This window comes from Homo sapiens, chromosome 11, assembly GCF_000001405.40.
Source record: "Homo sapiens chromosome 11, GRCh38.p14 Primary Assembly".
In the NCBI taxonomy this organism is placed as follows: domain Eukaryota; kingdom Metazoa; phylum Chordata; class Mammalia; order Primates; family Hominidae; genus Homo; species Homo sapiens.
The window spans coordinates 116,869,692-116,897,318 of NC_000011.10; the positions used below are offsets into that span (position 1 = coordinate 116,869,692).

At 41.8% G+C, this 27,627-nt stretch overlaps 1 protein-coding gene across 19 annotated transcripts in view, besides 4 other annotated features; it reads right to left on the reverse strand.

Annotated features, from left to right (window-relative positions):
- Positions 1–27,627, reverse strand: part of SIK3 (SIK family kinase 3) — a 255,027-nt gene that overhangs the window by 26,290 nt on the left and 201,110 nt on the right. For 12 of the 19 annotated variants that reach the window (XM_005271484.4, XM_011542722.2, NM_001366686.3 and 9 more), the window contains 10 exons: positions 27,502–27,626; positions 26,562–26,685; positions 7,233–7,351; positions 6,562–6,672; positions 6,175–6,318; positions 5,683–5,760; positions 5,467–5,576; positions 4,212–4,365; positions 3,790–3,945; positions 640–710 (listed from right to left, as the gene is read on the reverse strand). In XM_005271484.4, coding sequence (XP_005271541.2) covers positions 640–710; positions 3,790–3,945; positions 4,212–4,365; positions 5,467–5,576; positions 5,683–5,760; positions 6,175–6,318; positions 6,562–6,672; positions 7,233–7,351; positions 26,562–26,685; positions 27,502–27,626 — 1,192 coding nt within the window. Of the gene's footprint in view, positions 1–449; positions 711–3,789; positions 3,946–4,211; positions 4,366–5,466; positions 5,577–5,682; positions 5,761–6,174; positions 6,319–6,561; positions 6,673–7,232; positions 7,352–23,069; positions 24,277–26,561; positions 26,686–27,501; position 27,627 lie in introns of those variants that run through there. The other 7 variants (XM_017017424.2, XM_047426672.1, XM_005271482.5 and 4 more) reach the window with 4 other exon arrangements.
- Positions 10,364–10,413: a silencer, noted in NCBI's record as "silent region_3926". NCBI's record gives its function as "represses an Ori minimal core promoter by ATAC-STARR-seq in GM12878 lymphoblastoid cells {active_cell/tissue: GM12878}" and the evidence as "EXISTENCE:reporter gene assay evidence [ECO:0000049][PMID:35858748]".
- Positions 20,877–20,936: an enhancer, noted in NCBI's record as "active region_5557". NCBI's record gives its function as "activates an Ori minimal core promoter by ATAC-STARR-seq in GM12878 lymphoblastoid cells {active_cell/tissue: GM12878}" and the evidence as "EXISTENCE:reporter gene assay evidence [ECO:0000049][PMID:35858748]".
- Positions 25,559–25,638: an enhancer, noted in NCBI's record as "active region_5558". NCBI's record gives its function as "activates an Ori minimal core promoter by ATAC-STARR-seq in GM12878 lymphoblastoid cells {active_cell/tissue: GM12878}" and the evidence as "EXISTENCE:reporter gene assay evidence [ECO:0000049][PMID:35858748]".
- Positions 26,300–26,801: an enhancer, noted in NCBI's record as "OCT4 hESC enhancer chr11:116766707-116767208 (GRCh37/hg19 assembly coordinates)". NCBI's record gives its function as "activates a minimal SCP1, AML or CMV promoter by ChIP-STARR-seq in primed H9 embryonic stem cells {active_cell/tissue: H9 hESC(primed)}" and the evidence as "EXISTENCE:reporter gene assay evidence [ECO:0000049][PMID:30033119]".

Sequence of the window (27,627 nt, forward strand, 5' to 3'; positions counted from 1 at the left end):
GGCTAACGGAACTGAGGCCAAATGAACAGTACAGCATGCCTGATGGTCACTGCCGTTCTCTGTGAGTTAGGCATCTCTCAACAAGGTTCTGTAAACAATGGATATTTGCATCTGTCCCTGGCCCGAATCCCATATTCTCTTTTTCAATATCTCTTTGTTGGTACAAGGGGGTGGAAGAAGCACACAGCAAACAGTACAAGAGGTATTCATTCTCCTGGAAAGGAAAAGTCCATGCCAGAGGTCCATGGCCAGACTAGCTAGGATCACTGTCATCCCACATCTCCAATTCCTTTTCAGTAAACAGTTCTTGGCAGGTACGAGCAGGCTTTGTGCCTTGTGAATACTATCAGAGTTGCAATATGAAGGCAGGGGACAAGGAAGAAGGAGGGAGGAAAGAAAAAGTTCTTATGGTTATTGCTGTCACTTAGGGGACTTCCAATGGTGCTTACAGAAATGACATTTTCTGGGTAGTCTTCTGTTACTTCCATGTGGGGTGGAACATGCCATCTGGCTTGAGCAAAGAGACCACACAAATGTTGAAGCTGCACTCTACCACCTCCTTGGGCAGAGGTGACCTTTCGCTGGTTGCAGGGGAGCCTGCCCAGGGGCTTCTGCAAGCACTGCCAGATGTCACATTACCTCTGCACAGCTTCCTGGTCTGGCTCCCCGTCTGAGCTCTCCTCGTCCACAGGGGTAACTGCTGGCACTGCCTGAAGAGAGACAGGAAGGAAAAGCTCAAGGTGGCAGCTTATTCTGTCATGCCTCTTACTCTAGTAACTGGGCTTGGGGCAGGACTTTCTGTTAACTTTCTTATTTACAGAACTTTTCTAGACTCCTGGGTTATACAGGATTTTCATATACCTATTTTTCCATTTTTACCTTGCTTAGGTAATACTAATTAGAATTTCTTCCTCTTATTTATCTTCATTCATTCATTTATTAATCTAACAAATAGCCAAATGCTTACTGTTACAGGATAAAATGTGAATTTACAGACATAGACCTTGCCCTCATTTTACAGTCTAGTAGAGGATAGAGACAAGTAAACAATTACAAAATAGCATGATCAAGTCTTCTAATGGGGGTGTTTGGGAATTAAGGAAGGCATCCTGGAGGAGGTAGCACCTAGCAGGAACCTGAAGGATGCACAGGAGCTGGTCAGGCAAAGAGGGACAGGAGTTACAGGTTTCCAGGCAGAAGAAAAGAGAAGGCCTGTAGGTGTTTGAGGACCCGAAAATACAGTAGAAGATTGTTTACCTGAAATGTCTAGGACTTGACCTGTTGTTTCATATTAATGTGATTTCCGGAGTTTAAATGTCTTAACTCCAGGAAAGCATAGTGAATTACTGAAATTACATTTTGGTACATAAGATACAATTGTGTAGTATCAATTCACTGCTTTAAAATAGTTGTTACTCGCCAAAACATGTGAGTGAAATGAGAACCACCACAATGCTTGTATCACTGTGACTTTCCCATCTGCATCCTTGCTAGCTACCCATAGCCTGGGTGCCCACATCATCACCATGCCCCAGTCACTAGAACAAAAATCACACTTCAATTATTATAAAAGAGTATTTTACAAAATGGCTAATTACAAAACAAAACAAAACAAAACACTCCTGGAATAATTTTGTCGGAAAGCTCCCAGGGTTCCTGGATCCCTTCCCACAGTTCTACAAGGGTGGAGTGAACAGGGTGAGGCAGGAAGTGGCTGTAGATGAGGCAGGAGAGGAACGCTGTGGCCAGTGACAAATGGTCTTGAATAACACACTAAGAAGTTTGAGGAAGAACAGTGGTGAATCACTAAAGGATTTTAAGCAGGGGCATGATGTTATAAAGATTTATATTTGCAAAAGCCAGCTTACTCTAGCTGCAGTGTGAAAAGGGCTGGTGGCAGGGATCAGGGGACATGACTGGAAGCAAAGAAGTCAGTTAGGATGCCGTGGTGTTCATCTACACAATGGATGACAGTGACCTGAGTTAAGGAAAGGAAAGTGGAGAGGATGTTTCATTCACAGGCACTGGACAACTGACTTGATATGGCAAATAAGAAAGACAAGAGTTAAAGATAAAATTCACATCCCTAGCTTGTGTAACCCGGAGAATGACAGTGCCATTCACTGTCACCCAAGAGGAGGAGCAGGTTTTACAGAGTCATGGTAAGTTCATTTGGGACATGCTGAATTAAAGTTGTGAATACTTGTGGAATAACCAACTAAATCTATCCCATAGGCAGTCATGTACACGTATGTGTAGAACTCAGAGGAGCATTCTGGGCTGGAGAATCAGAGAGTAACTGAAATTACAGGAGTGGACAAACTCATCCAGAGAGAGTACATCAAAGGACATGGGAATAGGGCCTAGGATAAAACTCTGGGTTTTGCCAACCTCAAGGAACAAGCAGAAAGGAAATGTGAAAAGGAGAGGTGGGGGAAAACACAGGGAATGTGGTGCCACAGACACCAAGAACAGAAAATATTTCAAGGAAAAAAGAAGTCAACAGTGATTAATACAGTTGGGACGTCCAAAAAGATAAAAGGTTAAAAATGTCCACTGAATTTATCAACAAGAACTTGTTAGCGACCTTGGCAAAAACAGTTACAGTAGACACAGTAAGTCACCCCACGTCCCATAAAGCTGACCATGATCCTTCCAAACCTGTCTTGCCCATCTCTGAATGCCTCTGCCACCTAATTTTCCATGTTATTACTGTGGTACTTAATCACATATGATCTTGTACTATTAGTCAAATACTTCACATATGTTGATCTTGTCAGTGATGGCAAGGGCTATGATATATAATTCTTTCATTACTGAAAGTGTGGCCCATGGACCCATGCCCACAAACTGTTTTGTTACCAATTCATGATAAGGTAAGTACAGAAATCAACAAAAGGCTTTCAGAAACTTTTAGCAATTTAAAAAAATAAATAAAGAGACACTTTTAGCAATTTAACAGAGTAATTTTGTCTGTTGAACTCAATAAAAAATGCCTTGTATTTTATATGTGTTTAAATTTTCACTGTTCTAATGTTTCACTTTTACTATATTTTACAAGGGATTAACCCATGATGGATTAAAGGAGGGAAAAGGGTCCTCAAAGCAGCACTGCCCTTACAACATCTCCAAGGGTGATGGATATATTTACTACCCAATCTTATGGTACTATGAGATTGAATGAATAAATGAATGAATGAATGACCTATGACAGGAAAATAAACAGAACCCAAGGGAGAAAAAAAATCTCTGAATGTGACTATCATATGAAGGACATGTGACTAAGATAACTGACTCGGCTAAAGCTGTGGGAGCAAATCATCAAGTGATCCAGGTTATGCCAAACATGTGAGGTGTGTTTATCAATGGAGAAAGCATTAGTGAAAAGGCAATTTTGGAAGCCAGTCTAGAAACCAATTAATTTAAGGGCACTTTGGCCTTCTGGCAGGGAAAGGTTGCCTGGGAGAAGGCTCTGAGTTAGGCTGCTACCTGCCCCAAGCTGGCAGGAGTGCAGCTGGACTTAACCAGGGTACCTGTGAGCGCCCATTGAGGAAAAAGCTCTCCAGGAGTGGAGTTCAATGTAGAAATAACTTGGCTAAGTAAGTAAGTTCGCCAAAAATAAAGTGTGGAAAACTCTACTGGCCTGAAGAAAATGGGCTGGAGCATCCTAAGTTTGGAGAAAAAGGAAATTCAGACATGTAGGTTGGCCCTGGGTTCCCAACCCCAGGCTCACAACCTTTTTATCAAAAGCCTCTGAGACAGTGAATTGGGCTCTGTGCTGCTACTCACTGGTGTCATGGTGACAAGCGGAGAGGGTCCCCGTGGGCGCTTCAGCAGCTGCTGGGCATGCAGTTGGATGTTGGCTCCTCCATCTGATGCCCTCCGGCCAAGGGGGCCCATTCCATTCAACAGCTGTAGCGTGGGCGGCTGTAGGAGAGACTGCTCCTGCCAGGAACAGAGTGGGGAGGACGGACCATGAGATGAGGGGAAGGCGGGGAGAAAGGGGCAAGCCACTCATCTATGGAAATTAAGGGAGCCATGGGTCATGACAGAGACTAGAGGACGCTTCCCGCTCACCCGAGCTACTTTGCAAGATAAATCATCTTTCTCTATAAGTAAACCCTTAAGTCCTAGGGAAGGTGCCTCATAGCCTCTCAAAGGAAGCTCAAGTTTGTTTCTTCTGGAGCCAGCCCTCTTCCATGTCTAGGTACCTTGTACTCAAGTTGCCCGGTTGGTTGCAAGTTTTGCATAGGCAACAGGTTGTGCATGAAGTTCACATTAGGGGCCACCTGCAGGAATGGAGCCTGGGGGTTGACTCCAGGAAAGCCAGGTAGGAGCTTCTGCAGATCTTCCATAACTTCCGTGCTGATACAAAACAGAATGACAGAGAAGTTTAGTTAACATTCTTACTCAAAAGTGCTTATATCCCAAAACTGATGGCATTGCTATGTTCAGTACAACTTATTTTATTTTCTTCCTGAATTTATGTTTCTCTTTAAGATCCTAAAGCAAAGCAAAAGCCTAAAGTGTGGAATTTAACTCTCTGCTCCTTTACTATTTGGGACGAAGGATTGCTATTCTTTATTGGCCATTCATGTAAAACCAACAGCTCTGAGCCAAGAGGAAATAGTGGCACCAGTCCAGTTCAGGTTTTCAAATCCTGGAGGTGAACACCAAGTTTCTGGAGAACATGGGCCATCCACTAAGATAATGGCTGCCTGAAGTAGCAACTGATTCACCAGGGAAAGAATGCAATTACTCTTGTCAGTGCTGATAGGACAGATAAGTACTAGATGTACAGGGCTATCTTGCTACAATGATAGGTTTTACAGCATACTTTAAAGTAAGACATCTTTCCACTAACAGAGCGACTCAGGGCTCCACCCCTTTAAAGCTATCTCAGTCTGTGGAGCCAGAATGTTCCCCTATTGCCTATTTGATCATAGGCTGAGAACAAGAGACATAAAGCAAGCACATCAGCAGGCATGGGAGTCTTTTTTGGAAATTCACTGGAAGAAAAGAGATATTTATAAGAAAACCAGCTTTGCCCTGATTTGACCTCTCAGGAGAATTCTTCCCACAACCTTCTCTTCCTACTCAGCAAAGAAAAAATCCAGAAAAGAGGTAAGGCTATTTTAATGTTGAGAGTCTTCAACCGTGGAACAAAAATGGGGCGAGCTGGCCTTCAGTCCATTTTTTCCAGTGTGCAGGCAGCAGGGAACATCATGAAAGACTATTTTGGGAAAACACTTTGGGAAACTGTTGTTATTGGATTTTGGATCCTTATTCATTTAAATTTTAATTGTCTACATACATAAGTTACATCATATCATTTGTCCACTTGGCCACTGGATTAGATCTCCTCTGGGGATACAATGTAGTAGGAAATGTGCCATGGTAGACACTGAAAGTCAGGTGACAATTCTTTGCCCCAGTGTTAGTGAGGGCTGTTGGCCGGATACTCACCGTGGGTCAGCCACACCCACTGTGTGCCTCCTCATTGACAAATAGCGCACCAATGCTTCAGGGGAAGGCTCTTCACCCTCATCACTGTCCAAATTCAGTGTCCCATCCGGCTGAGGTGGAGGGAAACACCATCGAGTTAGAAATCAGAAGGAAGGGAAGCAAGGATATGGCAAAGAAAGTGGTTTCAGCTGACAGCTCCCACAGGTTGCTACTTGCCTCCACAATTTGGTTCTCTGGGTTGATCAGCTGCACCTGGGGAACGCTGATGTTCATAGCAGTACCTGCCTGCTCCGCCTGGAAAGCAGTACATACATATACACGCATACCTTTAACACTAGAGAGAAATAATGAGTCTTTCCAAGTAGTCTTGATTGCTAAAGTCTATGTTTCCCTGATTACTAAAGTTTTTGGTTCATCGGCCCTTAGAAGTCACAACAAGGAAGCATCCTGTGAAGAGGATAGCATCGCCTCATGATTTGCTATTTCTTCAAAAAAACAAAAGGCACAACTATTGTTGCTCATCCCTCCTCTCCATCAAAAAAGGTTCAGATCTTTGATTGGCCTCTGACAAAGGAAGAGATGACAAATGGGAGGAGACAGAGGTAAGGAAGAGCAAGAAACTCTCGACTTAGGGTTAGTGAGCAACAGCTAACCTTTACCCCCCTGGTGTTACTTGTCCTGAACTAGGTCACTGGAGTTATTGCCCACCTGGATATTGACTGGTGCTTGAAAGGCCAGGGCTCGGGGCATGCTAGGAAGTGCTCCGAGACGCAGGGTTTTATGTCTCTTATGTCGATCACACAGCAGGCTGTAGATTGCACTATAGTGATCATAGGCATCTGATCTTAATGACTACCAAGAGAGAAGGGAAAAGAGTACAAAACCCTGGTGAAATGGCATGTTGATGACCAGAACCCTTTCAGTAATAACATTAGCCAAAGCACCTTCTTTCCTTCTTTCCAAGGCCCAGGAAGGGGCAGAGGAAGAAAAACAGGAGGAAAAAAAAGGCCCAAGTTCCCGAGAAGGCGAAAAATGGAAAAAGCAGGTTAGAGGAACTGCTACATCCCACTTTGTTCTCCACTCCTTCGGAGATACCTGCAGTGTCTGTTCTTTGTCCAGTCCCATGTCCTCCATGGCCAAGAGGACATCCTCATTCAGGGGGTCCACCTGTCTTTCTTCCTTTAGTTGTTGGCATTCAGCTATTAACTGTAACATAAAAAGGAGGAAGCTGTCAACCCCCCAATTAACCACATCAAATGTGGCACAGCATATATAATGACCAACCTGTTCCATGCCCTCTGGCTTGGGATATTTTTGGCCTCAGACAAAGTCTAAGGAAGAGAGCCCTGAGTGATCAGCTGTAAACAGACAACAACTCACTGTTTCCTGAGCTCCCTGGCATACCTGGCATGGCCATAGTGGTTTAAATAAAAGCATGCTACAGAAGCCACTGAATTGAGCACACTAAGACAAGAGGAAGGCGACATCCCCATGGTAGGTAAGCTGCAGAACTGCAGGCTGTGCTATCTCAAAAGCCAAAAACAGACGATAATTTGGGGACACATGGTAGGGAACCATGATCACTATTCTCCAGCAGTTTAACTGGTTTTACATTCCTTCTTGCTTGCTTCACGTGCTGCTTTAGTGTTACATAATAGTTTGTTCCCAGTGTCCGCCTTTCAGGTTATGGCCTGATTACAATCACATGCAAAGGAGGCTGCAGCAGCTTTCAGAGGAGTCCCCTGCAGCAGCGGTTCCCAGCTCACCCTGTCAAAGTTGGGATCGGCGTCCCCTAGCTTCATCCACTTGTGCTTGCAGATCTGCTCCATGGAGAGGCGCTTATTGGGATCTAACACCAACATATGGCGGATCAAATGCTCACATTCTGCAATGGACAAACAGCCTGCCTTCAGTCTCTGGTGAGGGGAGGCACCAGGGGAGTAGAGGAACCAGGGGCAAAGCCAGCAGGGAGGCTATCCAACTCCCTGCTTCTAATTTTGTCTCTCTTGCTCTTTGATCCTTACCTATTCTGTTGCTTATGCCACCAGAAGGGGCTAAGCAAAGGCAGAGAGAGGTGGAGAAAAAGAAACTCAAGTGTGGTAGTCTGGTTGTTGCCTTCACCAAAAGGCTGACCAGAAAAGGTCTGGGGATAATCCATGGATTTCATTTATTTATATTATGTATATGGCCCTATTTAACACAAGTAATGAAGAGTAGAATGGCCTCTAAAGAGATTCAGTATCTTACAAGGTTCTCAAAATATTCAGTTCTATCCTCCTAAATGTACCACCACGCGCATACTAATGCTTTTGGCTTAGGTGTGCAATACCCTTCTTCAAAACTCAGGGAACTTGAATTTCTGATGGCACAAGGTGTGTGGGGAGAGAGCCACAGGCTACTTCTCTCCTATGCCCTGGGATTCAGCTAGCCTTATTTATCATTTTCTTCTCAATGTTATTTAAATAGTCATAGGTATTTAAAACTGGGCTGTGAGCTACAGATATTCAGATCTATAGAAATTTTTCTCTGGGAGCTCGTATTACAGATTACATTGCAGAAAGAACAATGGATTCAAAATCAAGAAACGTATATTCTGATTTCAAAACCACCCTCTAAGTTTTCTCATCTATAAAATGTGGCTACTGAGGGTGATGAGAGTAATAGTTGTGATGAAGGCAGTGATGATGATACCAAAACAGCACTATTGATGCATCTTCTGAGCATTTTACAATTATTATTTCCTCATTTAATCTACACAGCAATCCTAGGAGGAATGTACTATCATTGTTCCCATTTTAGGAATAGCAAAAACCAGGCACAGGGAGGTAAAGAAACTTGTCAAGGTCACATGGCTATTAAGTCAAACCAGATAGCCTGACTCTTCACCTGGTTCTCTTAACCACAATGCTACCCTGCCCCTGTGGTGCAGAGTTGTTGGGGGATCCAAATCCCCCAACACTAATTCAGCACTGAACCATTAATTCAACATCTTTATCCAAGCCACCATTTCTGACTTACACGCTGCAAAAGTCTCCTACCCGGTCTTTCTGCTTCCATTCTTTCTCCATTACAATCTGTTTTCTATAGAGAGGCAAAAGGAATTTTTCCAAAGCATAAATTTGGGCATATCACCACTTTGCCTGTAACTCTCCAATCTCTTCCCATAACCCTCAGAATGAAATCTAAAGTCCTGGGCCTCCAAGGCTCCTACTTCTCTCTCTCCCTTTTTTTTTTTTTTTTACATAGAGTCTCGCTCTGTCACCCAGGCTGTGGAGTGCAGTGTGCGATCTCGGCTCACTGCAACCTCCGCCTCCTGGGTTCACGTGATTCTCCTGCCTCAGCTTCTCCAGCAGCTGGGATTACAGGCCTGTGCCACCACGCCCAGCTAATTTTTGCATCTTTAATAGAGGCGAGGTTTCACCATGTTGGCCAGGCTGGTCTCGAACAACTGACCTCAAGTGATCCGCCTGCCTCAGCCTCCCAAAGTGCTGGGATTACAGGCGTGAGCCACCGCGCTTGGCCCCCTACTTCCCTCTCTGACCTGGTTTCCTGCCACTATGCACATTTCTAGTTTTTGCACATGTTTAACACACTCTCATCCAATGGCCTTTACATGTGTTTTTTTGTTTGTTTTTTCCTTTAGTGGAAATGGCCATTCCTCAGATCTTCATATGATTGGCTCCTTGTCATTCAGGTAAGAGTTTAAACGTCACTTCCTCAGAAAGCTCTTCTTTAACCATCTACTCTAAGATGGGCCTCCAGTCACTCTCTATTACATCACATTCATTGTCTTCACGCAAATGATTTCTTTGGGAAACCATCTTGTTTATGTATTTACTTATTGTCTGACTCCTCCACTGCAATGCAAGGCCCATGTCTTTCTTTCTGTTGTACCCAGTATCAACTCTCCAGTACCTAAAATGGTTATTATATCTAGACACTTAGGAGCTGCATAAATATCTACTGAATATGTAAATAAATATTTGTTGAGTATTTAATCAAATGAGATTGTAATTGTGAAAATTTTTTTAAAATAAAATTTTCTATAGGTTTTTAAATTTTCTGCTTCTATTTAATCACAACCGTCCTGAAAACAAAACTGGCCAGTGAAAATAACAACAACAGTAAGACATTATTACAAAAAACTACTTTTGATATACCAAGCACTGTGCTTACCAACTTTATTACATTTAACCTTCACAACAACCTTAACTTAGAGACTATAATTAGCTCCACTTATAAATGAAGAAGAAACAAGATTTTGAAAGTTAACATATTCAACATGGCAAAGAAATGGTAAAGTTGGGACTTCTAAGCTGTGCTCTTGACTACCCTATTATACATCTCCACATGGATATAAATTGATCTACTTTTCTAGGGTGAATTCAACTCTTCAATTTCTATACCATTTGGCAAACACCATTCTATATTACTGTTGTGAAAAGAATACTACAAGTAACTAAGATAAATTACTCTTATTTTAATTTACTCTAACTTCAAAAGATAATACAACAAAGTTCCTATATCAAAATGATTTCTTACATCAGGCATCAATTTGTTGTTGCTTTACAATTAAAACTATATTCAAATGCAGTGTACATCTCAAAGACTTCTACATTCCTATAGAATAAAGTAAATGCCATCTACAACAGTACGCTTTATTAAAATTACATTTCCAGAGTAGTAAGGCTAGAGCCACAACTGTAGCAGCACCTGTATAGATTATAAATGTCATTGACACATATGTTTATCGTTTGCAGTTACTTAAGAGGACAAAAGTGTTCTTAATTTAGGAAGTTGTTAAAGACTCCTGTGTAGGGAGAAGGCTAGGACCAAACTGTTGTTAAGGCCTCTAGATGGCACTCTCCTGTTTTCCTTTGGTCTCCACACACAATTTAGTGCATAAGATGACCAAAGCTGAATGGTGTTCAGTTACAGGCTTGCTTTAAAACAGATTTTTTCCAAGGCAATTTCCTTAAAAGCAAACAACAATAACAACAACACCACCACACACACAACCAAACCAAAAACAGTACCATAATAATTCCTAATTAGAAGATATATCTAGTTCAATTTCAGGATCTTGAAACCTCTATTCAGTCATCCTTAACCATTATTTGGCCTCAGATGCCTTGAAAATTCTCCAAAAAAAAAAAAAAATCTGCACAAGAATTTATACACAAGACCTTGCATGTAACTTTAGACTACTCAACGATGTCCTATGAAGCCTGCATAGATCCCCCAGACCCTGGTGTCTACAGGCCCCAGATTAAGAACCAAAACAATTCTTGGTTACAGTGTCAAGGGCAAGAGCTTTTTAATCTTGACTATCCTACATAATATCGAACGTGCCAAGGAACAGAAATTTAACATTTTTCATATGTGGTGCAGATGGAAAATATGACAAAATGCAGAAAGCTAGAGTATCATCATCAATTCATATTTCCTAAGTGTCATGTAGTTCATGAAATTAAATTCAGATGAGATTTGAAGACACCATTCTACATAAAACATGGAAACAGGGTGAAAACGAGGGGAATAGATGCTCTCAAACCTAAGAACACAATCACCCACAGGACATTCAATTTACAAGCATGGAAAGATGGAGCCCTCACATTAAACAAAACATCAACTTTTCCAGATACCAAGAACTACTCTATTTTATTGTCTAAAAGGTCCCTGTTGGCCAGGCATGGTGGCTCACGTCTGTAATCCCAGCACTTTGGGAAGCTGAGGTGGGCAGATTGCTTGAGGCTAGGAGTTCGAGACCAGCCTGGCCAACATGGTAAAACCCTGTTTCTACTAAAAATACAAAAATTAGCTGGGTGTGGTGGTACACACCTGTAATCCCAGCTACCCGGGAGGCTGAGGTAGGAGAATGGCGTGAACCTGGGAGGCGGAGCTTGCAGTGAGCCGAGATCGCACCACTGCACTCCAGCCTGGGCGACAGAGCGAGACTCCGTCTCTAAAAAAATAAATAAATAAAATAAATAAATAAATAAAAAATAAAAGGGCCCCATTATTTGCTCCCACCCAAAAGGCAGGGCCTCTGATGCTAAATGAAACTGAACCACTTTGGGCAATGCAAGAATATGCTCCTCTGCTTGTGTGTGCCAGAGAAGCAGCTTCCCTTCAGAGCTGCTTTCATCTGCTCCATGCAAGACGCCAAGCGGTCTCCGCAGTGAGAGTCACTGTGGGCCCAGGAAACCTGATCTGCCAACAGAACGTTAACTAGAGGATGTTCAGCACAGGCCTTGCCCTGCTGCGCTGCCAGGCATTTGGATGACTTTGTGGGGAGAGAGCTGCTGTATGGGCAGGGTCCTAAAATGAGAATTAAGTTGACATAGCCAGTGTGAGTCCGTATCTGTGAAAGCAACATTTTTTTTCTTTTTTTTTGTCCTTGATAATAAAACAAATTTCTCTAAGTGGTTACAACAAACCAAAACAATTCTTGGGAGATAAGTCTTCTCCATAAGCCGTGTGGATTTGACTGAAAATAGTAATGTCCCTTTGGCATACCAAGAGAGCAAAAATGAGAGAAAGATACATAGAAAAGAGTAAAAAAAATAGGGAAGAAGAGAATGAAAGACTAATAGAGCAATTCATTCAACAATATTATTTAATCATTACTAACATTTATTGACCATTTACATGATAGGCAAAGTGCTAAACCCTTTAAGTTAATTTAAGCATCTACTTCACAAACCAACCCAATACTATTATCTCAATTTTATAGACAAAGAGAATTTAAAATCAGAGAAGTTGAGAAACTTGATCAGATAATAAGAGGCCAAAGCAGAATACAAATTCTGGTCAGTCTTACTCCAGGGAGCTCTTAACCTACATGGTACCTAAAATAAACACATTATTGGTATTCTGGGTTATGAAAACAAACCAAAACAATTCTCTCCTCTGGCAGATCAGATGCCATGTCATCTTCACAGGTTCCATCATGACAGAATCACCCACAAGCTAGGTTAGTACAAAATGGGCCAGGCAAATAGATGGTGCAAAGACCAAGAACTAGCTTTAAGGGGAGACGGCAAGTTGGATGGATTAATGAGGCAGGGACATGAGAACACTAAATGGGGAGCGTTGTCTTATTCATAATTTTGCTGGTGAGGATTAAATACACTGTGGTAGAGCAAACTTATTTATATACTCTAGTTGTTGCAAGGTGATGAAGACTATGATGGAAGGCTTGAAACAGAAGGCTTCCCGAATCAAGGATCAAAGATAAGAGGAGATAGGTAAAAATTTAAGGAACCAGATCATCAGACTCTTCAGGCTGATCCTATGAAGGAGGGAAAGCCATTTGTCCCTGAAACCCTGCATGTGACACCAAAGAACAGAACATGGCAAAACAATCCTTTCCAGCTCTGTGGTGAGCAATGGCATAGAAGAAACTGAGTCATGGATTCTTTCTGACCACATAAAGCTGCTTTGAGCTGGTGGAAACAGAAGACATCTGTGTACCAGAAGGCACAGAAAGGCTTTCTTGCAGGCAAGAAAGTGCATGCTGCTTACAGGTGCTCAGAAGAAGGGGATGATCTAGTTTCTTATGTACTTGGTCCAGTCAATGGTAGGTGTGTTCAAAGGTAATTCTAAAGCACCCAGCCCAAGAGTTCTATATTTTCAATAATTTAAACAAACTTCTTAAAAATGTTTACTTCTTAGTAATGAATTGCTTCTGGCACAATTCTCACTTCAAAGAGGGTTCTATTTTTTCTAAATTTCAAAATCTAAAAAGGAAACAAAAATAAATTGGCGATTAAATCTCTGAAACATGTTTCTATGGAAAATGAATTACTTGACAAAAACCTTTTAAAAGTTAAATGACATTAAAGTCTTAAAGTTTTCAGAACAAGGATGCTATGCAATACACTGCTTGATGCTGTTATCCACTCACTTTGTCCAGCTCGGGTACCAGCCCTGGGGGAGAAGTGATGCTATTATAGCAAACAGAACAAGACCAATGGATGGCCTGCAACAGCAATCTCAGGATGGAGCCACATGGCTTTGATAAGAGTCTATCCCTGTATTTTAGATGTTCTGGATTTAAAAAATGTTTGTCTCAGAGCACCTCTTTAATGCTGCCTGCCTTTTCCTAAAAGACAAACTGCACACAAAACATGCTGTTTTTCCTCATGAAAAGAAAATAAAGTCTGTTATAATGTCCTGATCTTGTTATAACATGGACAGAACAGTGTGACTATCTTGCAGTGCTATGATCCCTGCAGAAATAATTAAAAAGTAAATCAATAAGAAACCAGGGGTGTTTTCTGCCAAGATACCTTCTTTTGCTAAGAAGCCAGCCAGAGTTAGGAATCTTCACTCTGCTTGTGGACTAAGCCCTAAAAATGATGTTTTATTAATACGCTCAAGAAACACTGTCAATGTCAACTGCCAGCTAAGATCAAACCTATTTATTTAACATAGTCACTATTTAAAAATGTAAACAAATAGACAAATGGTCCTCAAAATAAGACATTTGGGCCCGGCATGGTGGCTCACGCCTATAATCCCAGCACTCTGGGAGCCCGAGACAGGCAGATCACTTGAGGCCAGGAGTTCAAGACCAGCCTGGCCAACATGGTGAAACACAGTCTCTACTAAAAATACAAAAATTAGCCAGGCATGGTGGCGTGTGCCTGTAATTCCAGCTACTCAGGAGGCTGAGGCAGGAGAATCACTTGAACCCGGGAGGCAGAGGTTGCAGTGAGCCGAGATTGTGCCACTGCATTCCAGCCTGGGTGACAGAGTGAGACTCTGTCTTAAAAAAAAAAAATGACATTTGTATATATAAATAACATACAGTAAATGTGCTAACCTATAGATACATTCAGAGATTGTATAAATGTTAACTATAATAATACAAAATACAGGGATTTTGTTGTTGCACTGAAATTTTGTTATTTTGGGTACTGCTAGAACAATGGTGTTATAAGGATTGGAATGCTTTTATTCTATACATTAAATTTTGACATATTACTGCTATAATAGAAATAAACATTTCTAAATACCAAGTTAAAGGACTAGTTATTTATTTTTATTTTGAAATGGAGTCTCATTCTGTTGGCCAGGCTGGGTGCAATCATAGCTCACTGTAGCCTCGAACCCCTGGGCTCAAGTGATCCTCCTGCCTCAGCTTCTCCAGTAGCTGAGACTACAGGCACACACCACCACATCTGGCTTTTTTTTTTTTTTTTTGATGGAGTCTCGCTCTGTCGCCCAGGCTGGAGTGTAGCAGTGCGATCTCGGCTCACTGCAACCTCGCCTCCCGGGTTCAAATGATTATCCTGCCTCATAAACGATAATATGCCTCCTGAGTTGCTGGGACTACAGGTGCATGCCACCACGCCCAGCTAATTTTTTGTATTTTTAGTAGAGGTGGGGTTTCACCGTGTTAGCCAGGATGGTCTTGATCTCCTGACCTCGTGATCTGCCCATCTCGGCCTCCCAAAGTGACATCTGGCTATTTTTTTTATTTTTATTTTTTAGAGACAGGGTCTTGCTATGTTGCCCAGGCTGGCCACCTTGATCTCCCGGCCTCAAACAATCTTCCCATCTCAGCCTCCTGAGTTGTTGGGATTACAGGTGCATGCCACCAAGCCTGACAAGGATGTAGTCAATGCCACAGTTTTACACAAACAAAGAAAATACACAACCTTGGAACTTAACCTATGACAGCACTGACTGCAGTAAGATCCGACTCATAAAAAATAAGCATTGAGATTAGCTTCTCTTGACACAATGGCACTAAGAAAAAACTGTCATGTTTTGAAACATTTATTTTCAGTTGCTCGGGGGAAGAAAAATGGAAGTCCCACACTTCAGTAAAATTTCAAAAATGATATTCCAACAGTAAGATATCAGAAAAGAAGGTGGAGAATTATCCATTTAACTATAAATTCCAACCCTAGTGGTTTCTGCAAATTATTGTAATCAGAATATCCTGGAATAGAAATAAAGTTCTTTATATCTCTAAATTCTGTGAGACACTTTCAGTGACTGAACATAGAGGCCATAGGGAGATGGCCTGGAACACTTTCGCAAAGAGATGGAGCCCATAAGAAAAGTTTCTTTAGGAATCAATAAACATGCACTGAGAGGCTTTTCTCTTCAGTTTTACCAAGTTTATCAACCCGAGACAGACCACAAAGAAAAGGTTTTGACCCATGTATATCCATTTATTAGAAAAATGACACCTATTTCTTGAACTTCCTTACTTTCGATCAGTTTTTCTAGGTGGGCATGATGCTGCCAGAATTAAAATTCAGAAATCAGGAAATCCTGGCCTAAAGGGTAGGGATGCCAAGATTTAGCTCTAGCCCAACCCTGAAAAGATCCTGGCTTGCTATACTGTTTTACAGGAGGCTGTCCATCTTGTGGTTTACATTCTAGTATCTTTTGACTCCTAGTATCAGTCATTACAGTTTAAGAAAATTCTGCCTCCAGGTCCAATACAGAGTTCCTGCTACTCGTTTTTCAGTAAGTAATCCCGATGCAGACAAATATATCCATTCTATGACTCTCTTGATTCTTGGACTAACTTACTATGTATTTATTGAGAATGAAAATACAAACACATATGGTTAGATGGTCTCTGAAGCCAGACTGCCTGGGTTCAAATCTCAGCTTTGCCACTTACTAGATGTGCATCTTGGGCATGTTACTTAACCTTATCATGCCTCAGTTTTCTTATTTATCAAATAACCTCTCATACAGTTTACCTCATAAAACAGCTTACCTCAGACAGTTGTTCTGAACATTAAATAAGGTAATGCAACAGTGCCTGGTACATAGAAAGTGGTCAATAAATGTTGACTATTATCCATATCTCTGAAGTCCTTCCACTTGGAATGTCCTTCTTTTATTTTTCTATTTAGGGTTGCCATAAGCCAGGAGACAGCTGGTTTGAAAAGGCTAATAATAAATAGGGCAGTACCACTATTTATCTACTGGTTTTTAGTTATGTTAGGTCATGGGAATGAACACGGCTGGCCTGTTTCACTCTGAAGTAGTTCTTAACCTCTTTTCTGACATCAGCTGTGATTTCTACATTCACTGACATGAAAGCACTACATAGATTTTTCTCTCTGGCGGTGCAGTGTGTCTCAAAAGGTATGAGAAAACTGCTTTGAGGACTCTGAGCCCCTCGGTATATGGAGACTTGGTGGGTGAGCCAATTTAATCCCTTGCCCCATTGGTTCTAAACAAAGTGCTTTTAGCCAAGCAAGATGCTGTGTGGTTCTTGATGAGTAAGCCTATCAGGGCAGAGTTGTTTGCCTCTAAGTAGAAGCTTTTTGGCAGTAGCTGCAGGTTACATTCTCCATCAGAAGCATTATGTAAGCCTGGGTTTTGCGTTCCCAGTAATAAAATGCTCATGCAGTATTACAATTAATTAAGTCACAATGAAGTCTAATCAATAAAGACTCAAAAATATTGTCCACAAGAGATCTCTATGCCTTCACTAACGCTGCAGTTTTTTCACTGTAAATTAATTTTCCTTCAGTTAAATAAACGATCTTAGTATGTCTGCTAGCAGGTGGTACAACAGGGGAATAGGGTAAACTAGGCTTTAAGTATGTTGTTAAAAAAATATATTGAATGAATCTGGTGCTCAAAAAATTTAAGTTATTTGCATCCATCGGTGGAAGGGCAGATCAGAGGAAATATTTGCCAACACATGAAGCCAGGCCAGGTTTCACCTTCCACAACAGCTCAAGAAAACAGCAAGTTTCAACTTTTAATCCTTCTATAATTTAGACTCAGGGTTTTATCAAACTGCTCTTTGGGATGCTCTGAGAAGTTTAATCCAAAAACACTGGCCTGGATCAAACTTATTTTACTTAAGGAATAGGAAGCAAACTCTACAGTAGATCAAAACACCCTTTTACACCTAAAAGTCATTTGACTTGGTCACCTTCACAATAACTCATATAACAAAACTACATAAAACCATGGCTGGGCGTGATGGCTCACGCCTATGATCCCAGCATTTTGGGAGGCAGAGCCAGGCGGATTGCTTGAACCTAGGAGTTCAAGACCAGCCTGGGCAACATGATGAAAATCTTGTCTCTACACTAAAAAAAAAAAAAAAAAAAAAGTATATAAAACCAAGTGGTTTGATGAATAAATAATTTAGATCATGTTAATAATATAATACAAGAGTCTGGCAGGGCACGGTGGCTCACGTCTGTAATCCCAGCACTTTGGGAAGCCGAGGCGGGCAGATCACTTGAGGCCAGGAGTTCAAGACCAGCCTGGCCAACATGACGAGACCCCGTCTCCACTAAAAATACAAAAATTAGCTGGGTGTGGTGGCACGCACCTGTAGTCCCAGCCACCCAGGAGGCTGAGGCAAGAGAATCACTTGAACCCAGGAGGCGGAAGTTGCCGTGAGCTGAGGTCGCACCACTGCACTCCAGCCTGGGCGGCAAAATCTGTCTCCCAAAAAAAAAAAAAAACAAGAGTCTGATATAAGATTCCATAGTTAAGTAGTGATGACTCAGTTTTTCATTCAAAAACACTTACTGAATGCTTATGTCTTACCAGGGGCTGTCAGGTTTTATGGAAGGTATTGAGTGTAAAACACAGCTCTGATAATCAAGAGGCTTACATTCTAGTGGGGAGAGGAGGAAGACACATACATAATTATAAAAACTAGGTGGTATACAATCAACCTAGCCTCAAATAAATCCTCTTTTAAATGTATGCCACTGTCATTCCAACTTGAAAATATATGTCTTTAGTACATCTCAGGATGCCTATGAAAGGAAACTTGTGTCAAACAAACAACACCAGGCATAGAAATATACATGAATTGTGAGGATACTTCATTCCACACATTACTGACAATAGAGAGCAGCTTAGAATTCTTGAGCTAACTATATCCATTTGCAGAGCATGGCCTCCCACACAGCTGTATGTAGCTACTCTGGAATTCAACTTGGCTAGAAGCAGCTACATGGTAGAGGCTTTGCCCTCTGGTCTTCCAAGTGATCATTTAGAACACTATACCAGCTCTGCTGGAGTTTCTAGACCCTTCAGGAAGAAAAACAGATAAACTCAGCTCAAGCCTATGACAACAGCTGAGAAAAGGAAGGATCTTGTGCATAAGGAATTCTCTCAATCACGCTATCTCCCGTAATACAGCAATAGCAGCTGGCCTCACAGGCTGAAAAGCAGCCAGCACTCGCCTCCATCAGAAGACTATGCTCCAGGTCTACTGAGATACAACTGTGCCCAGAAACACGAGGCGTAAGCAGAAAAAGGACTCTGGGACAGACTCTAAACTTCCTTCACCTGACACTTTCTGGTACTTGAAGGTTGTCTAAGCTAAGAAAAGCCTAAATAACCGATGAATTCATTTTCTGCTATGCCTTATCCTTTTGAAGTATTCTCTAATGGGCCTTGGGATTTAGGCCTATGACATTCAGCAATGCCAAGCACATGTATATTACCAAGGGCCAGAGAGATCATATTGGTAATATAGCAAGTATCTACTGACTTCCTACCCTGGTTGTTTCTCATTCTCTGTACTAATCATACAAAAACTTGTATTGCTACTTAGGGAATTATTTAACTGGGATTAAAGAGCGACTACGTTTAGGATAATCCTGTTGGCTTTCTCTGAGTCTTGAAGCTTTCAGGTTAACTAACATCATATTACAAATAATAGTTCTAAGCAGTTAGACTGTTAGTTTATTTCTAAGCACTAATAGACAGTGTGGCTGACAGCATGCTTAGCTGTTTTCTAGGACCCCCTATCTGAAGCCGGCTCCGGGAAGGGTTCAGTAAGAATCTCTTGCCATGGTGTGAGGTGATGGGGGTGGAGGATAGAAAAGATCCAAGTTGCTCACAGGAAACACTGTGGACATTGGAAAAGTAAAGGAAGTGGTTTATCTTGCTCTTTTTGCAACAGTATGGTGTAGTAAAACAAACACTAAATTTGAATACTGACCTAGTTACTTATTACCTGTGTGGCTTTGGCAAGTTAACTCATTTCTCTAAACTTCAGCTTCCAAAACTTCATCAGCAAGATGATAAAATATGTGCTATTACCTATTCTAAAATATAGTTATGTAGCTCAAATTAGATTAAGTAAAAGAAAATAATTTAGGTTGCGTATGCTGGCTTCTGCCCATAATCCCAGCACTCTGGGAGGCCAAGGTGGGAGGATTGCTTGAGGCCAAGAGTTCAAGACCAGACTGGGCAATGTAGTGAGACTCATCTCTACAAAAAATCTTTTAAAAAATTAGCTTGGAATGGTGGCACAGGCCTATAGTCCTAGCTACTTTGGAGCCTGAGGTAGGAGGGTTGTTTGAACCCAGGAGTTTGAGGCTACAGTGAGCTATGGTCATACCACTAGGCTCTAGCTTAGGTGACAGAGCAAGACCCTGTCGCCAAAAATATAAAAACTGAAAAATTGAAATATTTTTAAAAAATATATTGGCTGGGTGCAGTGGCTCACACCTGTAATCCCAAAACTTTGGGAGGCCGTGGTGGGCGGACTGCTTGAGTCCAGGAGTTCAAGACCAGCCTGGGCAACATAATAAGATCCCATCTCTACAAAAAAATACAAAAATTAGGTGGGCGTGGTGGCGTGCGCCTGTAGACCAAGCTACTCAGGAGGCTGAGGTGGGAGGATGGCTTGGGCCCAGGAGGCGGAGGCTGCAGTGAGCCAAGATCACGCCACTGCACTCCAGCCTGGGCGACAGAGATCCTGTCTCAAAAAATAAACCTATTAAAAAAGAAATTATTTTATAAACTCAAAAGCCCTAAACAAATGTAATTATTTGATATTACTACTGATATTATGATTTGGATAAGACTACTCTCCAGAGGGGCTTTTGGAGTCAGTGTTCGAACAACCCTATGCATTAATTCATTCAACAAATATTTACTGAGTGCCTACTAGAACTCAGGCACCGTCCAAAGCCCTGGGAACATAACAGTAAACAAAAACCAAATGCTTATTATGGTCAAGTGGTGATAGGAGGTGAGGAGACAATAAAGTAAGTGCTATGAAGAAAAAGCAGAATTACAGAAAGAGAATGATGGGGGTAGCCAGGACAGGCCTCTCTGAGGGGACCTATGACTCCTCTCTGAGGGGAATGTATGTGTTTGGCAAGTCTGAGAAACAGCAAGGAAGGCCCTGTGACTGGAGCTCAGAACCGGAGGTGAACAGTAACAGGAAATGAGACCAAAGAAGGGGCAATGACAGCTGTGCCTTGTAGGCCATAGTAATAATGACTCCTTGAATTTTATTCTGAATGTAAACAAATGCCACTGGGGATGGGGTGGTTCTGATTCAGATTTCATATTTACTAAGTCCTACTACACACCAGATCCTGTGGTAGGTTATTGACAGTTGTGAAAAAGACATGTTTCGTCTGTACTTTCACTAAGTTCAGTCTGGTGTGGAAGACATACAATGAAAGAAGTAGTTACAATATAAAGCTTGGTAAGCACCACGATAAGAGAAAGTTTAGAGACATGAAGAGTGAATAGAAATTATCTAGATTCTTATTTCTATCCAATCTAATTTTTTTTATTCTGAATTCTAGAATACAGGAGTGGGTGGAGTGGGGTGGGATAGGGAAGATGTATTCTCGGCAGTGGGAAATGCTCCAGAAAACAGAACTTGTTCAGGGAACGAGAAGAAAATTAGGGTGACTGGTGGGAGAGTGGGAGCTGGGGCTGAAGAGCTAGGCAGGAGTCAGGTTATAAAGGTATTTCTATGTCATTGTTTCTGAAATAGCAGATAGGAGATCAATTTAGTAAGTCGAAATCAGCATTTTTTAAAATGGAATAGAATAAAATATATTGAAATGCACTGTACATAGTAAGGTAAGTTTTGCTTTTTTAAAAAAATTGTTTGCTGGCTGGGCGCAGTGGCTCATGGAGGTCAAGGAGGGAGGATCGCTTAAGGTTAGGAATTCAAGACCAGCTTGGTCAACAGAGAGAGAGTCCATCTCTATAAAAAAATGTTTAAAAATTAGACGGGCATGATGGTGCTTGGTGCTTGCCTGTAGTCCCAGCTACTTGGGAGGCTGAGGTGGGAGGACTGCCTGAGCCCAGGAACTGGAGATTGCAGGAAGCTATGATCACATCACTGCACTCCAGCCTGGGTGACAGAGCGAGACTCCGTCTCAAAAAAAAGTCTTTTGTTTTCAGTCATGGTGGTATACGCCTCTAGTCTCAGCTACTTGGGAGACTGAGGCAGGAGGGTCACTTGAACCCAGGAGTTCGAGTTCAGTCTGGACAAAATAGCAAGACCCCATCTCTAAATCAAGCAAACAAAGCTTTTGTTCATTTGTATCTATATATGCGTGTTCTGGGTCACAGTATAAAATGTACTTTTTTCTTATCATAGCCAAAAATGTTTGTAAGCCAATGCTTTGCCACCTTATGGAGTAAACTTTACCTTAGAGGCAATGGTAAACCACTGAAAAGTTTCAGGCTAGAAAATGATATAATCAGATTTGTGTGTTTAAGTAAGAGAGAGAGAAAGAGAGAGAAAATGTACGTGTATGTGTGTGTGTGGTATGTTTTATTTATTTATATGTTTGTGTTCTGGAAAGATTAGTCATGTAGCAAAGTTGACAATAGATTAGAGGGGGACAAGACTGGAGCCAGGAATCCATATAATTGGCTATTGTTTAATTGAGGCAAGGGAAGATGATAGTATGGTCTTAGAAGTGCCTACATGAATGGAGGGTTGAATTGACAGGATTTGGTAACTGATCAGCTGTGGCACTGGTGAGAGAGGAAACATCAAGGCTTGTGCTGGCCTTGGTCAGATGGTGATGCTATTCACTAAGGCAGCAAATACAGAATAGAGCAAATCTAGGGAGGGGGAAGTCAAGTTCATTTCTGAATATGTCTCCATTGATCTGACTTCAATACATGAAAGTGAAGATAATGGTTAGCAAATACTTGGATATGTCGCCCTAGATCGAGAGGTCTGGGACAAAAAGTTAACTGAGGACTGATCACCACAGTGATCAGTGAAGCTACAGCAGTAAATAACATGGCTCCAGAAAGATGTTGTAAAGATGAAAAGATCTAAAGGATGAGCAGAGAAAAATAAGTCTGGTAGAGAAGATGGAGAAGGTGCTTCCAGAGGACAGGAGGAAAACTGGAGAATATGGCGTCTCAGAAGCAATGAGAAAAAGTGTTTTAAAATGTAATGAGTGACTCAACAATAAGAAAATAAAACAACCTGAAGTTAAAAACGACCAATAGACCTGAAGAGACACCTCAACAAAGATATATAGATGGCAAATAAGCATAAGAAAAGATGCTCATCCTCATACATCATTAGAGAATTAAAAATTAAAACAACAATGAAATATCACTATATACCTATTAGAGTGGCCAAAATCCAAAATGCTGACACCACCAAATGCTGACAAGGATGTGGCGCAGCAGAAGCTCTCACTCATTGCTGGCAGGAATGCAAAATAGCATAGCCACTTTGGAAGACAGTTTGGCAGTTTCCTACAAAACTATCCATGCTCTTACCATATGATCCAGGAATTGTGCTCCTTAGTGTTTAACCAAATGAATTAAAAATTTATGTCCACACAAAAACCTGCACAAAGATGTTACAGTAGCTTTATTCATAATTGTCAAAATTTGGAAGCAACCAAGTCATCCGTAGGTGAAAGGATAAAGGGTGGTACATCCAGGCAAGGAAATATTATTCAGTGCTAAAAAGAAACGGGCTCTCAAGCCATGAAGAGACATGGAGGAACCTTATTGCATATTACTATTTGAAAAACACCAATCTGAAAAGGCTGCATCCTGTATGTTTCTACCCATATGACATTCTGGAAAAGGAAAAACTTGTGGAGACAGTGAAAGGATCAGTAGTTGCAGGGGGTTAGGGAGAAATGGATAAACAGGCAGAGCACAGAGGATTTGGGGGCAGTGAAACAATTTTATATGTATTATAGTGGTGAATACATGTCACTATACATTTACCAAAACCCACAGAATGTGTAACACTGAGAGAAAACCCAAATGTAAGCTATGGACTTTGGGTGATAATGTGTCAATGCATGTTCATTGATTGTAACAAACATACCACTCTGGTGGGGCACATTGATTATGACAGGGGTCAGCAGGGGAGGGAGGCAGGACAGCACAGAGGGTACATGCAAACTGTGTACCTTCCACTCAATACTGCTGTGAATCTAAAGCTGCTCTAACATATAACTCTAAAGAGACAGGGCACAGTAGCTCACACCAATAGTCCCAGCACTTTGGGAGGCCAAGGCAGGCAGATCGCCTGAACTCAAGAGTTTGAGATCAGCCTGGACAACATGGCAAAACCCCATCTCTACCAAAAAAAAAAATTAGTCAGGCATAGTGGTGTGTGCCTGCAGCTCCAGCTATTTGGGAGGCTAAGGGAGGATCACTTGAGCCTGGGAGGTCCAGCTGCAGTGAGCCACGATCACACCACTGCATTCCAACCTGAGCAACAGAGCAAGACCCAGTCCCAAAAAAGGGAGTTAGGGAGGAAGGGAGGAAAGGAGAGAGGGAGGGAGGGCAAGGGTGAAGTGTTAATCACTGCTGGGCAGTGATTAAGAAAAAGACTAAGGATATGCAGTTGATCAATAACGAGATCACTGGTGACCCTGGCCAGAGCAATACTGGACCACTTCTCTGCTTCCTTTTATAGTAAACTGGAAAGAGCGTGTCGTCTATTTTCCTTCTATTCCTTTTTTGTTGCAACCACATGATTAAGCTTTTGCTCCTGTTCCTCTGCCAAAAGTGTACTTCAGAATCATTAATGATCTAGGAAGGTGAGGGTGTGGGGGGATAAAAAAGAAACAAAATCATTAACGATCTCCACATTTCTAAATGCAACATTCAGTTCTCAGTCCTCTTACCTGACTTGGCAGCAGCATTCACTCCCCACAGCTCCTCACTCCCTCCTCCCTCCTCCTGGGAACAGTCTCTTCACTTGTCTCCTAGGACAGCAGGCCCTCTGGCTTACCTCACCAGCAACTCTTATGATACCTCTTCACCTGCTTGTTCTCTAAATAGCGGTATGTTCCAGAGTTTAATTCATGGACCTCTTCTCTTCTCTGTAACCACTGCCTAAAAAGTGAGCTCACCTCATGGCTTTAACTATTATCTATACACTGGGGATTCCAAACATACATCCCCAACCCAGAATTCTCTCCTAAATGCGACTGCCAATTCATATCTTAACTCTGATGTCTAATGTGCACCTCAAACATGACATGTCTAAAACATCTCTCCAAAATGTAAGTATTCTTCCCCAGTCATCCCCATCTCAGTTGGCAGTAAAACCATCCTTCCATTTGCTCAGGATAGAAACTCTGGAGTCTTTCTTTCATATCAAATCCAACACTAAATGTTATTGGAGCCAAAATACCTGGGTTCAAATTCTACTTCAGCCACTTGGTAGCAGTGTTATCTTGGGAAAATTGCCTAATCTCTCCTGGCTTCAGTTTTATCACCAGTAAAATGGAGACAATAATCTTGTGTATCTCATAGGGTTGTTAAAATAATGAAGTGAGTTAATGTTTGTGAAGTGCTTTGAACAGTGCCTGCCACACATGGTAGGTAGCATCTCTTGAATCTGATCACTTCTTACCATCTCCATCTCGACACCCCAGACTGGGAACCAGCCACCAACATCTCTTATCTGGACTATTGTAAAAGTCTCCTCCTAACTGGTGTCCCTCCTTCAGCCTTTGTACCTTTTAGCCTACCGGCAACATAGCAGCCAAAGTGATCTTTTTTAAACAAAAGTCACTGCAAAATTTTTCAATTTTTTTGTATGTTTGAAATTTTTCATCATAAAATTTGGAAAAAATAAAACTCAGATTACATCACTCCTGTCAAAACCCTCCAATCCTGTATACTTCAGTCACAGTAAAATCTAAAGTCTTTACATTAACTAGGCCCTAAAATTAAGCTCCCTCTTACCTCTCTGACCTCATCTCTCTTCCTCATCTCTCACCGCTCCTTCCTTCCAGGCACGCAGGCCTCCTTCCCGTTCCTTCACATGCAGCCATGCTCCATCCCCGCGGCCTCTGCGCTGACCCCTCAACAGCCAGGGGGTGCTCTTCCCCGGACTGCACAGCATTCACCCTCACCTTCTTTCAGGCTTTGCTGAAAGGTCCCTTTCTCCATGAAGGGGTTTTCATGTAACTTACCAACCACTATCCTAACTCCTTCTCTATTTTATTTGTCCCACAGCATTTAGCACTATCTTCTACACTATGACGTTATCAGTTCAAAGGAGCCAAGTTAAATCTACTCCAAGGTTCACCTCTTTGTTCTAAAATGCAATTACCATGGGCTTCTACCTTGTTGTCAACCCAGTGGACACATGTTCTTCCTTAAAATGAAAACAGATGATTAAGCAAAACTATATGACTTTTTGCGTTCTCTAAAATGTTCCCTTCTTATGTGCAAATAAATGGTGATAAAATACTGTTAATTCTGAGTATCTTGTATCTATTTTCGGTGTTAAATTTTTCCAAGACCTGCCTACCTTACTGCCCACTCGTTAAATAAAATTTTTTAAATTTGATTCTGGAGGACAAAGAGCACAGAAATAGGAAATGAAGCAGTAGCAAGACTAAGATGCAAAGCCTACTTTATCCTTGGCATTTAAAACCACATTGCAATGAGAACCCAATAAGTGGAAATATCCTGAAAAAGGGTAGGAAGACAGAAGTGAAACAAAAGCATTTATTGCATTACTGCTATGCCATGGGCCTACTGAGTCTTCACATACATTATCTCATTTAATCCTTACAGTAATAGCAGCCCTCACAAAACTCTCAGCCAATTTATAGATGAGGACACTAAAGCTGAGACAGACTTAGGGCCCAGATTCAAACCCAAGTAGGGCTCTCTGATGCCAAAACCTATATACTGTTTCTACAGAACCTTGCCTCCTGGAGGCATCAGGTCAGCAAGCTGGAGTTAAAAAAGGTTGTAAGTGGGCCATTTATACTCCATCACTAAATTCCTGGGATAACTGAGTGGGTCTAACTTTCATGAACCCATTCATAGCTGTGTGCTAGCGACTCCCTTACCTGTGGACATAAAAAATGGGATGCGGAACTTTCCACTCAGCACGCGGGCCCGCAGATTCTGCAGTGTGCTTCCATCAAATGGCAGGGCACCGCACACAAGCACGTAGAGGACAACTCCAAGGCTCTGCATCCCAAACAGAGAGGATGTACAATTAATCACATCAGGGGAAACAAAAAAGACTACTGTAGTGTGTGTATGCAGATGATGGTGAGTCATGCATACGATTATGGAACAAACTTTTTCTTCCATCTTAGAACAGTTAACAATCTTCTTTGCTTCTAGGCATTAATTTAGGGTAACATCCTGAATTTTTCTCAGTACTCATTCTCTGGGGATAAGGTAAGTGGCCACAGTAGAAATAATCTCTCTTCTTGGCAACGGCCCCCATCCAAGCTGGCCCTTGGGCTTCTTTTGCAAATGCAAAGGGGAAATTTGAAATATGTGGCTCAGTCCACAAGGTAAGTATTGGAGGAAAGATTTTGCACGAGTAGGCCGGGTGCAGTGGCTCATGCCTATAATCCCAGCATTTTGGGAGGCCAAGGCGGGAGGATCACCTGAGGTCAGGAGTTTGAGACCAGCCTGGCCAACATGGTGAAACCCTGTCTCTATTAAAAATACAAAAAATTAGCCAAGTGTGGTGGCTTGTGCCTGTAATCCCAACTACTTGTGAGGCTGAGGCAGGAGAATCACTTGAACCTGGGAGGTGGAGGTTGCAGTGTGCCAAGATCATCCTGCTGCTCTCCAGCCTGGGCGACAGAGTGAGACTCTGTTTCAAAAAAAAAAAAAAAAAAAGGCTTTGCACAGGAATTGGGACTTGAAAGAACAGGTGACCAGGATCTCAATTCATGTTGCATCATTATGTATCCTTCAGGATGCGAATAGCTGTCATCAACCAAGGGTAGCTAATGCTGTGGGGTATAAGAGAAGGCAGTTACTTACCCAGATGTCCACTTTGGGCCCATCATATTCTTTTCCTTCAAAGAGTTCAGGTGCAGCATAGGGAGGGCTGCCACACCAGGTCTTCAGCAGCTGCCCAGGAGTGAAGAGGTTACTGAAACCAAAATC